At 45.3% G+C, this 16,221-nt stretch overlaps 1 protein-coding gene across 19 annotated transcripts in view, besides 5 other annotated features; it reads left to right on the forward strand.

The window, feature by feature from the left end:
* PRKCE (protein kinase C epsilon) overlaps window positions 1-16,221 on the forward strand; it is a 536,712-nt gene that overhangs the window by 182,432 nt on the left and 338,059 nt on the right. For 18 of the 19 annotated variants that reach the window (XR_007078551.1, XR_939695.3, XM_005264428.2 and 15 more), the window contains one exon: window positions 9,290-9,353. Coding sequence is in view for 15 of the 19 variants with exons in the window: in XM_005264428.2 (XP_005264485.1) it covers window positions 9,290-9,353 (64 nt within the window). In the remaining 4 variants the exon portion in view is untranslated. Of the gene's footprint in view, window positions 1-6,669; window positions 6,842-9,289; window positions 9,354-16,221 lie in introns of all 19 variants that reach the window. The other variant, XM_011532980.4, reaches the window with a different exon arrangement.
* Window positions 181-330: an enhancer, noted in NCBI's record as "active region_15693". NCBI's record gives its function as "activates an Ori minimal core promoter by ATAC-STARR-seq in GM12878 lymphoblastoid cells {active_cell/tissue: GM12878}" and the evidence as "EXISTENCE:reporter gene assay evidence [ECO:0000049][PMID:35858748]".
* Window positions 381-490: an enhancer, noted in NCBI's record as "active region_15694". NCBI's record gives its function as "activates an Ori minimal core promoter by ATAC-STARR-seq in GM12878 lymphoblastoid cells {active_cell/tissue: GM12878}" and the evidence as "EXISTENCE:reporter gene assay evidence [ECO:0000049][PMID:35858748]".
* Window positions 2,360-2,885: an enhancer, noted in NCBI's record as "OCT4-NANOG-H3K4me1 hESC enhancer chr2:46063209-46063734 (GRCh37/hg19 assembly coordinates)". NCBI's record gives its function as "activates a minimal SCP1, AML or CMV promoter by ChIP-STARR-seq in naive and primed H9 embryonic stem cells {active_cell/tissue: H9 hESC(naive and primed)}" and the evidence as "EXISTENCE:reporter gene assay evidence [ECO:0000049][PMID:30033119]".
* Window positions 3,427-3,496: an enhancer, noted in NCBI's record as "active region_15695". NCBI's record gives its function as "activates an Ori minimal core promoter by ATAC-STARR-seq in GM12878 lymphoblastoid cells {active_cell/tissue: GM12878}" and the evidence as "EXISTENCE:reporter gene assay evidence [ECO:0000049][PMID:35858748]".
* Window positions 7,062-7,181: a silencer, noted in NCBI's record as "silent region_11443". NCBI's record gives its function as "represses an Ori minimal core promoter by ATAC-STARR-seq in GM12878 lymphoblastoid cells {active_cell/tissue: GM12878}" and the evidence as "EXISTENCE:reporter gene assay evidence [ECO:0000049][PMID:35858748]".

The following is a 16,221-nucleotide window of genomic DNA, read 5'->3' on the forward strand; positions in this document are numbered from 1 at the left end:
TAAGATAAAGCACACACATTCAAATATACCTAGTGATAGGGACCATTGCAAATCAAAATGCAAAATGTGAAATGCAAAGTGCAGATCGGCAGTGGATTATCTGCTTCAGAATGCTTGGGTAGGTGGCTACATTTCTGCTATTAGTGCTCACCTACCTCTTCTTAGGATATACAGTCATGTACTGCCATTTCTCTCAAAGTAGACAGGCAGACTGTGCTGTGAGCAGATGATGCTCTGTACCCTTACACACTCTCCACATTAGTTTAGGCACTTTTGGATGTTTTCTCAGCTCAAGAAAGCATTTATGTATACATAGAGTTATTCGTTTTTAGCTACCTCTGTCATCAGAGGGAGCCAGCTCTCTGGGGCCATTTCTGAGCCTGCTAAAAAAGAGGAAGTAGGTGCTAACTTGAGCCTACTCCATTTGTGGTGTGTTGAGAGCTAAGATCTGTAACGTGGGCCTCTGGTCCAGCCAACAAGAGTTTCACAAGAAGATAATGGCTGCTGCTAACTTGGTTCCCAGTGACCTGGCTACGGGTGATGAGAATGCAGTGTTTCAGCCAGTTTTGAGGGGTGTTTATTTAAGGTGTGTCTGGCAACTGAAGCAAGCTGTAGTCTGGGGGATTGGAGATTATAAACAGCCAGTGCAGTGAAAAGGGACATTTTATTTTTTTAAATGGGTAGTAACTTAAATTTTTAACAAGTTAGCTCAGAACACAATTTTGTAAATGGGCGTAGAATAAAGAATAAGGCCTCCTTTCCTGATTTCTGGTTTGCTCCTCCTGTCATGTCCATCTCTTGAGTCAGCTCTTGCCTTTTGCTGATTAAGACTCCTTCTGGAGATAAGGACGTATGTGCAGATCACGTGTGCGCATGTGTGTATGTGTGTGTGTGTGTGTGTGTGTACACCCACATGCTCCCCCATTGTATTCACACAGCAACACAACATCATGAACTTACGGTGTGTTGCTTTATCCCCCCTCCACTTAATGTATCACAGAGCTAGTTCCCTATCAGTTGGTACATTTAGATCTTTTTCAGTCTTTTTTAGGACTCGCATGGTGATCTACCATATGATGTACCATAATTTATTTAAGCAGTCTCCTATTCATGGACATTTAGGTCATTAAGTTCATTAAAAGGCTTTCTATAACATTTGGTCTAATTATCTTGTTTTATATATGAGGAAGTTCAGATCCACAAACACACAGACAGATTTAAATAATTCAGCAGACTCTCAAACCTACATTTTGGATGTGTTTATCTTGCTATTATTGTATTTTGATCACAGGAGACAGGAGAAGGTGGCTCAGCTGTGTGCCTGTGAGTGTGTTTGCACACGTGGGTGGGTGTGTGAATGTGCACGCCTACACAGGTAGGTGTACATTATGTTGTTTCACAGATGTGCTGTTGAAAAACTCTGAATGAGTCCTTTTATTTTTAAAAATGGAATATGAAATTTTAAATGCTCCGAGGGTGGGAATAGGATTTGTTATTTAAAGGAAACTTGTGGAGGAATCCTTATGCGAAATAAATCGTTTTTTTCCATTTTTAAAAACTGCTTCATTGAGGTATAATTTACATACAATTAAGTGCATTCATTTTAAGTGTAGGCTTGATTTGTCCCACCCAATGTCTACATTCATGGAGCAGCCACCACAATCAGGATAGAGAAAACTCCCGTCACCCAGGACGTTCCCCTGTGTCTCCTGGCATTCACTGGCCACTTCCAGCTCCAGGGAATCACAGATGTGCTTTTTTGTTATTGTAGGTTTGTTTTGCCCGTTCTAGAACATCGTAGAAGTGGAATGCTATGGTATATACTCTTTAATGTTTGGCTTCTTTCACATAGCATCCATGTTGTTGCATGTATCGGTAGTATATTTGTTTTTTTTTTTTTTTTTAAGAGACAGGATCTCACCTAGGCTGGAGTGCAGTTGTGAAATCATAGCTCACTGCAGCCTCAAACTCCCAGGTTCAAGCCATTCTCCTGCCTCAGCCTCCCAAGTACCTGGGACTGTAGGCATGCACCACCATGCTCAGCTATTTTTTTTTCTTATTTTTTGTAGAGAGAAGGTCTCAGTATGTTGTACAGGCTGGTCTTGAACTCCTGGCTTGAAGCGATCCTCCTGCCTCAGCTTCCCAAAGTGTTGGGATTACAGGGGTGAGCCACCGTGCCCGGTCCTCATTCTTTTTTATTGCTAAGTAACATTCCATTACATGGATGTAGCATGGTTTGCTTATTCATTTACCTGTTGTTGGACATTTGGGACATTTCCAGTTTTGGGCTGTTAGGAATGAAGCTGCTGTGAACATTTCTGTATAGTAGATGGCTTCCCCAGTAAATCATCTCCACAACTCAGCGTACAGATCCAGTTTTTTAATATATTGAAGTAGTATAAGCTAAGGCCATGCATTCAATAAGCCAACATGTAGAAATCTGTATTGAATCCCTCCCATGTGCGGGACAGACAGGGTCCTGCTTTGCAGGGATGTACACTGAAGCCTGCATGTCTTTGCACTGCAGTGGAAGCTGTTTGAGAAAAACGATCTGCCCCTCCCCTTATTTTATGAAAGTAAGTGCTATTATAAGCCCATTAACAGAATAGAATCTTGAACATATTTGATTACATGTGTACTCTCTGCTTTTTGACCAGTCACTGCACACTACCAATAGAGCAAGTAGCAAATTTTACCCCAAATGAAGAGTCTTTAATTAGCTGCTAACTTCAAAATCAGCACCCCGCAGCTGCTGCTGAGTTGCTCATTGTATTGCCTCAATGCTTTCTGCTTTCCAAATGCAGAGCTGGGAGGACACCTGCTGCCTGAATGTCCCCTGCTCTGTCCAGCTGGCCTCTCCCATGCCAGGTGGGTCTGGGGATGGTAGTGTGCCTGCGGTGCCTCCAGGGGAGAGGGGGCATCAGTGAAGGGGTACAGGACTTGGGCAGTGGGCCCCCTGCTTTGGGAACCAGTCCCCCAGTCTTCTGTCCTGATGGTTCCCCGTCTGCCTCCTCCTTTCTCACTCTCCACCCTCCTCCAAGTAAAAAAGAAAAAGACACAGCAGTAGATTATCTAGGACCTTACTGGTGGAACAAGGGCAGTGCAAGCCTTCCCTTGTCCTTCTCATCCTTTCTGGATTCATCTTTTTCAGACCCTGTCCCTGTTGCCCTTTTGCCTCTCTCCACGCCTTTGTGCCTGACAGCAGATGGGAAGGGAAGTGAAACTCGAATTGGGCCTGTGTGACCTTTGTGGGCTGTCCCAAGGAAAGGTTTGCTTAGACATCTCAGGCAAAAGTTGAACCTATGGTTAGGAAGCTTGACTTTGTATATTAGACCTCCCTTCCCTTGAAGCCAATAACCCCCAACATGTAGGTGTACAGATAACCTGTGGATCACGGGGGGCTGACAGCAGCACATCAGCCAGCAGCCTGGAGATCAGCATAGGTGGAGTCCTCTTGATTTTGCTGTTGTGGTTGTCAGAACTCCTGCTGGGCAGGTGTGGTGTCGAGGAAGAAACATGAGACTGAGAAACAGGAGTTGAGGGAGCAAGTTCTTTTATTTTTTTAAGACGGAGTCTTGCTCTGTTGCCTAGGCTGGAGTGCAGTGGTGCGATCTTGCCTCACTGCAGCCTCCGCCTCCCAGGTTCAAGCGATTCTCCTGCCTCAGTCTCCAGAATAGCTGGGACTACAGGTGCATGCCTCCACACCCAGCTAATTTTTATATTTTTAGTAGAGACGGAGTTTCACCATACTGGCCAGGGTGGTGTCAAACTCCTCACCTCAAGTGGTCCACCTGCCTCAGTCTACTAAAGTGCTGGGATTATAGGCATGAGCCACCACGCCCAGTCTAGGGAGCACGTTCTGATTCTGCCAGTCCGGCTCCAGGGGTCTCATGCACAGACATAGGTGTGAATGGCACCTCCTGGGGTTGTGCAGCTGGTGTGATCTCACTAGCACACTGCATGATATAATGGCCACCTATCTTCCTTAACCCCAGCTTTCTCAGATTCTCAACAGCACTAATAATACTGTTACCACGCCTGTAATCCCAGCACTCTGTGAGGCTGAGGTGGGAGGAAGGTTTGGGCCCAGGAGTTTCAGGCTGCAGCCATGACGGCACCACTTCACTCCAGCCTGGGGCACAGAGCGAGACTCTGTCTCAAAAATTTTTTTTGAAAATAACAAAACTCGCTACCTTACAGATTAATTGTGAGAAATGAATAAATGAATGCGTATGAGGGGCTTTGTAAACGGCTGAGCACCACCCCAAAAAAGTCCCTAACTTTTGGCTTTTCTAAGATTGCCTTTTTAGGGCTTGATGTGGGTTGGGCTCTTCCCCATTGCCAAGTTCCTAATTCACATGAGAGGCACTCTCATTGCTGCCCAGACCTCCCCTCAGAGCACCATGGGGTGGTCAAGGTGTCTGAGGTATTGCTGTGCCTTCCAGGTCTGCCTGGGGAAGCCAGTGACACCTGAAAAGGGGAATGAGCCCACTCTGGGGACGGGAGGGTTGAAGGAAGGAGACTGCACCTCGGACTGGATTGTCAGAGGAGGCTCAGTTGGCCAGGCAGGGCTGGGGTTGTGAGCATGACTTGCAAGCTCTGTTGACCTCTCCTCTGTGCCCCAGGCTGACCTGGGTGAGAATTCTGGCTGAAAGCTCTCTAAGCCTGTTTTTTCATCAGAAAAGTAGAGAATATTGCTGTCTCACAGGAGATTAGATGAACTAATGCAGGTAAGGTGCCAACATGGCGTCAGAGGCACAGTAGGTGTCATTGCCCTTCTTTCATGAGTACCACACGTCCTCCCGATGCCCCCGAATACCCTGGGTATAGCCCTTCCTGCCCCGGGTTTCCCCCAGAAAGGGTGCATACAATACTCTTACCTTGGATTTTAAAGTACAATACTCTTACCTTAGTTAAAAAAAAATGTTTTCAGAGACAGGATCTCACTTGTCACCCAGACTGCAGTGCAGTGGCGCATTGCAGCCTGGATCTCCTGGGCTCAAGCAATCCTCCTGCCTCTGCCTCCCAAGTAGCTGGGACTACAGCTGCCTGCCACCACACCTGACCTTTAGCTCTTTATTTGATATTCACAACAACACTGTAAAGTCATCAAATGTCCTGGAATTACATGTAACAATACCAACTTTGTTGAGGAAAGTTTGTTATAGTAGAAATAACATTGGACTAAGAAGCAGAAGACTTGCCTTTTTCATGATAACTGCACCAATGATGACTATTTTATGCCGGTGCCTTTGCTAAGCACTGTGCATAGATTATCTCATTTAATCTCACAGCAGCCCCATTTCACTGACAAGCAGGCTGAGGCATACAGAGGGTAGCTGCTTGCTTCAGGCCACAAGGCCGCTAAGTTTGCTCTTACCCACCACGTGCAGAGTGTCTCCTGGGTGCTTAGTTAAAAAAAAAATTTTTTTTTTTAACTAAGGTAAGGTGCCAAGTGCTTTGCATGTATGTTTCATGGAATTTTCATGACAACCCATTTCACGGATGAAGAGGCTGAGAGGCTCAGGAAGAGTAAATAATTGCCTGAGGTCACTCAGCTGATAAAGGACAAAATGGATTCTGCCCTGATTTGACACCAAAGTCTGTGTTTGTCTCCCCCAGTTTGACTGCCTTGCTTCTGGCCCGTGCTGGAGGGGTAGCCAAGGCACCGTAGTGTGAAAGAGAATCATAGTCAAAGAAAATAGAAATAGTAGCTGGGAAGATGTGTTAAGTTGGGATATGAGGTCCAAGGAGGTTTGATAAATTAGGTTGCATCTGGGAGAACTGGGAGGAGCCTGGTGCAAAGAAGAGGCTCAGAACTAACCCTGGGAATGGCTGGGAGGAGGTAGCGAGTCTGCTTTTGTGTCACGCCAGCTGCCTGGTGCCAATGCAGACTGACAGCTTGCAGGGTTGTGCAGGGCTGGGCACTTACATTGCATCATTATCTGGACCATGTAATCGTGAGCAGAATTTATGATTAAACTAATTCAGCGGTGAAGTTGTGCCACACTCTTCACCATCTTTTATACTTGGTGACCCCTCCAGTCGTTGAAGACCCACCACCTTGGATGGATTCTCAGAGCTTCCTCGCTTGGCTAGCTGGGGCTTGGCTGGCGATCTGCGGCCATCTGCTCATGCTGCAAAGCTCTTTGTTGCTTTTGGCATGTTTAATAGCTTAATTTCTATTTTTCTGTTTGGAAATGCAGTTCACCAGCACGGAGGCTGCAGTGGGTGCTAAAATGCTTTCTGATTGCTATCTTGAATGTTAATATCCGAATACATTTTATCATAAATGACCTGTCCTCCCTGCCACGAGTTCTCACTCCCCTTTTGCAAAGATGGGCATGGTGCCTGCCTTTGGATAGGCCCCGAAGCCCATCTCATTCCTTTGCTCTCTCCCTCCCTGCTTTACACAGATAGCATTGTACTTTGCCAATAAAGTCCACAGTCGTGGGAAATCTTTGAGTTGGAGGATATGAGAAAGAGTTTCATTTTGCCGGCAGGGTTTAATAGGGATGATCTAATCTCTAAAAGGCATACATTATTTAAATTCCATGCTTTTAGGCAAGAGGGCCCCTGATATTTTTGACTTTTGTCAGGGAGAAGATTCTGGTTTGGCTCTATTCAGCAGAGCCGACTGTTGGTTTTCCTGTTTGTCATTCGCTGCAGGGGCTGGTGAGGGTCAGCACTAGTGGTGAGAATTCTGGAGAACATTTTCTTTACCCAGAAACTTAAAATCATGGACTCTTGGGGAGAAAGGAATGAGAAAAGGCAGCATGCGGAATTACCAGTTTGTTATTTGGTTCCCATCTGGATTTAAAACCGAAGATCCCAAACTCAGGTGAGCAGCTCCCCCGGGGTGCCCAGGGGGCAATGCAGGCCTGCTCGTGGCACTCCCTCACTCCTGTGCCGACGGAGCACCTCAGCTATCACCAGGGGCCTCTCCCACGAGGCACTGAAGAGTCTTGTGGGTGAAAATGAAATTTTGAGGGAAACCTTAAGCTCTCTCAACCATTAGAGGCTGAGTCAGGCAACAAGATGGGGTCAGGAGTGACTCTGGGAGCCTCCTGGATTGTGTGTGGGGTGAGACGTTGGGAGAGTTTGGAGAACACCATTCCAGCTGGTCGCTTTGTCTCATGGGGACATGTGGTGCTCATGGTATAGCTGCCTCATCTTTCCTCTACCCTTTTTCAAATGTCATTTTAGTAGAGATGACATGCCTGCCTTCCTTCCTGGGGACAGAGCCTTGGGAGGGTGAATGTTCCCAGAATAGACTCTGGAAGTTCTGAACACAGAGCCTTTTCCCACCTCCACGAGTGTGTGCTGGGTGTTTCCTAAGAGACAGTGAGCTACGAACTAGGGATGCAAATCTGGTTATCATACTTTCTGTCTATCAGGACAGAGAGGTAGATGGACAATGTATTACAACTTAATAGGAGCTGTATTAGTCAGTGTTCTCTAGAGGGACAGAATCAATAGGATATATGTATATATGAAGGGGAGTTTATTAGGAGAATTGACTCACACGATCACAAGGTGAAGTCCCACAATAGGCCGTCTGCACGCTGAGGAGCAAGGAAGCCAGTCCGTGTCCGAAAACCTGAAAAGTAGGAAAGCCGACAGGGCAGCCTTCAGTATGTGGCTGAAGGCCCAAGAGCCCCTGGCAAACCACTGGTGTAAGTCCAAGAGTCCAAAAGCTGAAAAACTTGGGGTCTGATGTTTGAGGGCAAAAAGCATCCAGCACAAGAGAAAGATGAAGGCTGGAAAACTCAGCAAGCCTAGTCTTTCAAACTTCTTCTGCCTGCTTTATTCTAGCCACGCTGGCAGCTGATTAGATGGTGCCCACCCAGATTGAGAATGGATCTGCCTCTCCCAGTCCACTGGCTCAAATATTAATCTCCTTTGGCAGCACCCTCACAGACACACCCAGTAACAATGCTTTGCATCCTTCAGTCCAATCAAGTTGACACTCAATATTAACCATCGCAGGAGCCATGAGTAAGATGTGTCTGGTGTATTGTGGGAACACAGATGAGGGGCTAATTAATTCTGACTGGGCATATCTGGATAGATTTCAGAGAGGAGGTGATAATTGACCTTGACTTTGAAGGAGGAGGAGATATCCACTAGACTGACTGTTCTGAAGTAATTCTTGCTAAATGCTTGCCTGCTCTTTGCTGGGGACAGTGAAAAAGGAAAAGGAGGGGGATAGTGGTTCCTGCCCTCAAGATATTCACAGCTTGTTGGGGAGAGAGCCTGGCACTATGAACCAATGAAAGCTCTGTGTAGACAGATGGGATTGTGGAGGCGGAGAGGCTAGCAGGGGGACTTGGTGATCCAGGGTTTCCAGAGTTACTACTCTCTTATAGAGAGAACACAGTTTCTGTAAGGATAGTTCAGTCCTTGCAAAGATGTCTTTAACTACAAGAGGCCCAGCCCTCTGGCTTTTGTCTCACCCAATTATTTCACCACCTTGTCTCTGTATATTATAAGTAGTTAGCTGGATTTGAGGTGGGGAGGGAGGAAGTGAGGGTGCCTGTGCTGTTTCTTACGCCTTGCATACCTTCCCTTCCCTCTTCCCTTCCGTCTTCTACACTGATTTCAGGTTCGTCAGATACTTTATCAGTTCTTCTCTGTCCTTCATCATTAAGCTGGATTCAGCATTGTTCCCCATTTTTTAACTCCACAATGAGATGATAAACGCCATAAAAGCAGGAGTAGTGTCTTCCTGCTTCTCTTATTTCCCCTGGGAGCAGTTTCTGTGGTATAAAGAACATGGGTTTCTCAAGACAGGCTTGGCATTGAATCTCAGCATTACCACTTACCTTGGAATTTGGGCACAATTTCCATATCTGTAAAATGGGATAACATAGGGCTTTCTCAACCTCAACATCATTGATGACATTTGGGGCTGAATGATTCTTTGTTGCGAGGGGTCATCCTGTGCACTGTAGAATGTTTAATGGTATCTCTGGCCTCCACCCACTAGCTGCCAGAAGCAGCACTCTCTCTCTCTCCAATCATGGCAAAACTGCCTCCAGATGTTTGCCAAGCATCCCCTGTGTAGCAAAATTGCCCCCAGTTGAGAACCACTGGGATGGTGCTACCTATGGGGTATGCATCAGTCCTCCCAGGTCTGCATCTCACCTAGCACTCAACACATTGTAGGTTGGTGAATTACATGGAGCTGTGTCTCTAGGTTTTAGCAGTTTGGGGTAGAAATGTTGTGGAACTCTTAGGTTGCCCACACAATGCACTAACAGAGTCACTGTCATTTTCTTAATTGCAGATTGATCTGGAGCCAGAAGGAAGAGTGTATGTGATCATCGATCTCTCAGGGTCGTCGGGTGAAGGTAGGAGAGCGTGACTTCTCATCCCTGTTTTCTTCCATTGGCCCTTTGCCTTCTGGGTCTCTTCTTTCCCCCCCTTGGCCGGAACACATTATAGTGACATTTAATTAATTGGCATCCTTTAAAGGAAAAGGTTATTTTGAAGATGCTTACGCCTGTGTACCAAAAGGGACCAGCCATCTGTTAACTTTGGTGGAGCAGAGGGAAGATTTTGGACTTACCAAGTGAGGCCAATAAAACGGGCGTTTTTGCACGCTGTGTGCAAGGCAGGCTTCAGTGGCAGGGCAGCCTCTCCCAGGAGGCTTGCGTGGGGTTTGTGTGTGTGTGGTGGGAAGGAAGTAAAACCAGTTGGTCTAACGGCATCCAGAAATGAAACGAATAAGGTGACAAACTTCAGAATCTTCTTTAGAGCTTTGATAGAAGTGGGACTTCTTTTACCAGTTCTTTACACAGACAAAAGCTCTGCTCTTAAAGAGAAATAATGGGGTGAGGGAACATCTGCTCCCCACTGACTGATTAGATGGCGTATTACACCCTCTTCCTCTTACACCCTCTTCTTTCAATCCTTTCTTTGCTCACTTAACTACACTTAAGACCTTTGAAGGGTTTGCTGGGTGTTGAGGACTGAGCAGTCAAGGGAAGAAGGGAAGCCTAGAAAATAAAACCTTATCCAAACAGGAACAAGGAGATAACAACCAACTTAAGCTCTAAGAAAGATTTGGAATTCGGACTGAAATGTAGTTATTGTGGCCTTCTTTTCTCTCCTACTCCTCCATCTGTGGGCAGGGGGACAGAACAGTTGGCTTTAATGCCATGGCAGGGATATTGGAAGACCATGTGTAGTTCCTCTTGGCAGTGAGAAACAAACAGTGTTTGGGGACTGTGTCCCAAAAGGAAAAATGGACACTCAGCTCTCTCAGCTCTCCTGCCTGGAACACTTGGGCCTTTCACAACATCTCCCCAGAATACTGGGGATCACAAGCTCAAAGTCACAATCCCACACACAGTCTCTAGTTTAAGGCTCAGTGATAGAAGGAAGGATTACATATTCAGTTAGTCAAATGATGTGCTTGACAGTGGTGCCTGATGATTTCCATTCAGCTAATTTATCACCCAATCTCAACAGGTATTCGGAAGAATTCAATAATTGTGTGTATATGGGGATTATAATAGAATTAGGCCCTCTTTTAATAGATCCCAATTATTTGGCATAGGTTTAAAACTTTAAACAGCCTTCCAAAATTGGTTGCTTACATTTCCTGCTCTTTATTGCAATTACATTTTGGCATTTCCAACTTCCCTTCTCTGCTCTCAGCTCTGAACTGCCCAGAATAGAACCTGTTGTAGAAGATTTGAGGATTTAACAATATTTCACATGAAATATTTAAGACCTACAAAAGGGCATAAAGACAAATTAAATGAGCACCAGTGTGCCCACCGCCCCAATTAAGAATTAGAGCAAGCAGTGAGGTGAAGCCTTGTCCTTGCTTTTAACATAGAAAGTGATCCAAATTCACCAGACTTGACTTAAGGTTTTGCAGTGTGGCCTCCTGATTCTAGACACTGGCGAAACATTTGATGGGCAAAATCAATCCCCTTTTTTCCTTACATAATCTGTGTGCAATATGATAATTAATTAAATATGTATTTCCTGTGCCAAGATGCTGAGCAACCAATGGGAGGCTGGGACTATTTTCTCTTTCTTTGAAAAGATAAATGACTTGCAAAATTATAGAAGACATCCTTTTTTACATTAGAGGGAAAGGAGATGGACAAATGAATGAATAAATAAATCAGAAGCAATTGATTTTTTTCTGCTTGCTTCTACAGCTTATTGCATGTGAATAGCCAAAGCAATTTTCACTGGGCTAAATTCTGAGTCTATTTTTTAAATCTCTTTCATCTAAAGAAAATAGAGTTTACTTTAGAAATGCTGACACATGCCAGAGTCTGAAAAGTGCTAGCATGTGTTGCTCTGAAGAAAAGAAGACATTTTTCTACTTTTTTTTTTTTTTTTTTAAATTGCTGTTCTTGGACTTGGGATCCTTTCTTTCGATGGTGGGTAGGACTTTCAATAATCCGTTCTGAGAAGCTGCTCTTGTTGTTTGTGTTATACACATCTGTTCTCCCAGTCCTGTTGCTGGGACTGTGAGGGTTCCTAGCCTGGAGGGGGTTTTGGAAGAGTTGAGAGGGCAAGGGGAGGCCCTAGAGAATGAGAAACCACAACATTTCATACCTAAACCACGTGAGATGGGTCTGGGGTGAAGCAAGTTGTCACAACCACCCTCCTGGATTTACAGACTGTGGACTAAGTATTTTTTTTTTTTTTTTTAGTGAAAATACCTAACTCTGCATTCTGTGAAAGGGAGAGAGTTGAAATGAGGCACAGCTGAAGTTTCACCACTCCATTATTCTGCCATCAAGCATCCCTTCAGCTCCCATCTCTCAAATGCTGCAGCCCCATCAATGGAAAAAAATACATTCATGGGAATTGCACAAAGTTTACAACACATGCAAATTCCAAGGAGCTCAGAGAGAGGTGTGGGGGTGAGATGGTGTGACTACACCCCCTTCTTCTAGGATGCGCCGAAGGATTCTTTTTCTTGCTCATATGCTGTTAGAAAGCCTGGGCGTTTACGTCTGCTGGAGCTGGAGCTAATGTGATTTCTAACTGTCTAATAAAATTCCACTGCTTGCATGTCCTGTGCAGTTCACTATAGTGGAATCTGGCCAGTGTGTGTTTTGGCTAAACCAGCCATCCTAACCCCAGATGTAAGGGGGTCAGGCTAGATGACAGTTAAGGTCATTTCCGGCCATGTGATTTTATCCTTTGGTACAATTTGAATAGACATCTGTCAGAGCTCGTGGCTGAGGGCTGGCTAATATGTACAGAAAAAAGGAGTTGCAAGAAATGGACTCGTTTGGTGCTAGGTATGGTGCTAGGCACTTTACCTACATTATACCAAGTAGCAAACCTGCTCAAAATGCTCTTATGGGAAGCTCCAGTCTCAGTCCATGTTTTACTTGCATCGTAAGTAATAATCACAGGGGGTTCTGGTAAGGGTGGCTCTCCAGGCTCTCCAGATGCTTAAATCAAAGCACAATTAGCCCAGGTAACAGAGGCATAAACAGCAATGTAATTCTCACCTGTGCAAATGATGGTTTCCTGCTGTGCCCATTTGTTAGTATTTCTTCCCTTCATATGATGTAATTTGCATATTATTTCTTATTCTTTCTAATAATGTGGCAATGCCCCATGATTCACAGGCTTACCGATGAGAGACGGTCGGCGCCTGACCTGGGGACTGATAGGTTCTTCTTCCCATGCCTTGCACCTAGGTGTCATGCTCACCTGGGAGAGTTCTTCAGCATCTAAACCAACAACAGCAATAACAAGTAGGCCCATTGGTATGTTTGGATCACCAAACTGTTTCTCCAACAAAATACAGAGGATACAAAGGAATAGGAATGATTTTTGCAACACGTACCTCACAAATGATGCAGATAAGTCAAGTTCTGGAGGGATTGCATATTGTGGAAGCAGAAGAGCAGGGAACAGGAGGCACCCTGTTTCTTTCTGCAGCCACAGGCTGAAAGGGGTCAGTCTTCTCTGTGGGACTCAACAGATAGAGGAGAAAGAGCACAGCCTTAGGAGTCCTTCAGACCTGGATTGAAATCCTGGCTCTAGTGTTTAGTAGCTTAGAGCCTCAGATTTCTCACCCACAACACAGGGATAATGGTTCCTATGGTAGGTGCTAGGCCAGGATTGTCATAAGAACAGTGCTTTGGTACAGTGCCCTCGCATGTAAGAGATGATCAGTAAATATCATGAAGCCTTGGAGACCTGAGGGCAGAGAGGTTGGCATAGCTCTACCCAGTGCCCTTGAAGAAGCATCTGGCAGGCTATTCAGGGAAACTGTTCAAGGACAGGTTTCTGACGCTGGGGTGGGACATGTTCACAAGGGCCAAGAACAGAGCCAGGTACCAAAGAGGCGACTTAACAGAGTAATCTATCTGGCAGGGACTGTGCGATTGCTTTCTGCACAGTTCAGGCCTTGCCTCAGTTTTGCCTATTGTCACTCCATTTATTCCTTATCCTCTCCCAAGTAAAGTAATTCCTGGAAGGACATTCTCTAGCATCCCTGAGCCACTCATTTGCATTCCGTGGCCCTTAATGCTAGAGGCTTCTCCTTGTCAGAGCCTGGGCTTGTCCCATCCCTGCTTAGTGTGGACCATAGCATGTGGTCCCCATCCTCTCACCAGCCCTTGGGTAAAAGGCCTTTAAATATTTGAAGACAGTTTTTCAATATCTCTTTTTTCAGGCTGAATCAATCAAATCCCTTAACCTTTCAGAAGGGATATTTTAGAAATCTTAACTCAACTTTGCAACCTCTTCTGGACTTTTTTCAAGTTGCACAGGCAGACGTGATCAAACCAGCTTCGCTTGGTTCTGAAATAATAACATGTGTGTAGAGCTCTTAGCTTTACCAAGTGCCCAGCAGTATTACCTCCATGTGGGAGATGGTGAAATTGAGAGGTCAGATGATGTGCTCCAGGCCAAAAGGTTGATTATGAGACCCTGCTGGGTCCAGACCCCAGGCCACAATCCAGGTCCTGCTTCCATTCATGGCCCCAGTAATGAGTTTGCCACATGGCAGTGATTCCCCACTCCACCCCTGGTTCGATCTTTTTATTTTAGTTCTCTTCTTCAGAAAGCTTTTTATAGAAATATAAAGCCAAAGTTCTTAGCTTTGAATCCAAAGGTGACCAGAGTCTCCTTCATAAATAAGCAGATCCCTTTTCCACTGTGTTAGAAATAAAAGCTCTTTTGGTCCGAGCTCAAGGTTGGATCCTTCTCAGGTTGTCTGTAATGTGGATCCATGGCTAAGTCTTGGTCTGAAACTAGACCTGACTCAAATCCCAGCAGGTTAATAATTCTTCCTACTGACCTGCCCTCCTTGCTAGAGATGTTAGTTTTGTATGTGAAGACTCTGAGTCCATAGCAGGCATTAGAGCAGTACCTCCAGGGCTGAAATCAAAGTGAAAGGGGTTTTTCTCTTGAAACTCTGTCTTAGCCAGTGGGCAGGATACATATCGACGGGTTCTCTCAGATTCAAGCCCCACTGGAGCTTCAATTCATAAGAATTTTACCTCTTTTCTTCTAAATTCTACGTTAATAATCCAATGTCTTCTAGTTAGTAGAAAATTAAAAAGAACCATTCATTCAAATGACCAATAGTTAGCAATTCATTTTTTTTTTCTTTTTTTGAGACGGAGTCTTGCTCTGTCGCCCAGGCTGGAGTGTGGCAGCAGGATCTCGGCTTACTGCAACCTTTGCCTCCTGGGTTCAAGTGATTATCCTGCCTCAGCCTCCTGAGTAGCTGGGACTACAGGCATGCACCACCATGCCTGGTTAATTTTTGTATTTTTAGTAGAGACAGGGTTTTGCCATGTTGGCCAGGCTGGTCTCGAACTCCTGACTTCATGTGACCCACCCACCTCGGCCTCCCAAAGTGCTGGGATTACAGGTGTGAGTCACTGCATCCAGGCTACCAGTGCATTTCAACAAATGTGCCCAGCTTTGTGTCTGTGCTGGGTTTGGGGAATGGAGAGTGGAGAAGGAAGTAGAAAATGGGAGATGGCATTCACAAGAAGTGTAAAACCCCTTTGCCTTCAAGGAGCTTGCAATTCAATTAGGCACCCTAGACTTGCAGGATGAAAGCATTAGAGAACAATGCAAAGCATTGTGTGTTTGATTAGGTGTTACCAAGAGTTCTCCAAGTAGGAATAAGTCGGGACCAGAATAACCCAGGAAAACTTCAAGAAAGAGGCAAGGCTTGGGTTGGAAAGGAAAGGATAGGCAGGCTGGATTGGCAGGGAAGAAGTGGAGAGACCATTGTGAGTGGAGGGAATCATGTCATCATTATCAAAGACAGCTTTGAAGCTCTTATTTTCGGGGATGGCTGGATAGACAGGATAAGTTAAATAGATGCAGTGTGAGCTCTCTAGGAGCATCCAAACAAAGGCAGTCGTCAGTATTGCAGGCAGAAATTTTCATGCTATGCAAGCAAGAAAATGAAATGCCTTAAATGTTTAAACTGTCTGAAGATTGAAGGCAGTTCCTTCTGGGTGTGACTTCTGGGTCAAGTCTTTCTCTCACCATGACCTACAATGGGAAGGAGTGTTCTAGGTCAAGTTTGGTCAAGTCTGGGACACTGGGCAGAGCACATTTTACAACTATGACACTGAGGCATTTAGAAGATCAAGCCCAGGTACAGGCATCCCATCGTGGTCTTTGTGGTCTCTTTTCTCGCTTAGCAACCTCATAGAGTCCCATAGCAATCCTTCTGCCATCCTCAGCATTCTCTTCCTCTCCATCCTTTCAAAAGTGCCCCAAAATCAAGCCCAGATACTCCCACGCTTTCTCTTTTCAAATTCTCTTCAGTCTTTAATAAGAAATGTCACTTGAGAGGTTAAGGAGAGCCTCCAGCTTCCCAAACAGGGGACCTCAAAGCCAGACACCAGCTCCAAGGTGCTGATCAGGCTCCCTCACATGTTGTGCCTTACGCAATAAGATCCTGATCCTGTTCACCACACAGACTCCCTAGACATGCATGGACATGTCAAATCCCCTGGCAGTGCACGGAGCCCAGAAAACAACAAAATAACAAAATCCAGATGTTCAACAACATTGATCTTACAATATGCACCCCACGTTACCACACCCCACCCCGGCATAACTTCTTCCTGTGGCTGATTCTCAGACCCAGGGAGCAAGCCTCTGTGTCTTGGGATTTTTGGCTCTATTTTTGGTCCTGATGGAATAAATTCTTGTTCCCAGAAGTGACTATATGCACCAGATGAGACCAAG

This window comes from Homo sapiens, chromosome 2 (assembly GCF_000001405.40).
Source record: "Homo sapiens chromosome 2, GRCh38.p14 Primary Assembly".
Classification (NCBI taxonomy): Eukaryota; Metazoa; Chordata; class Mammalia; order Primates; family Hominidae; genus Homo; species Homo sapiens.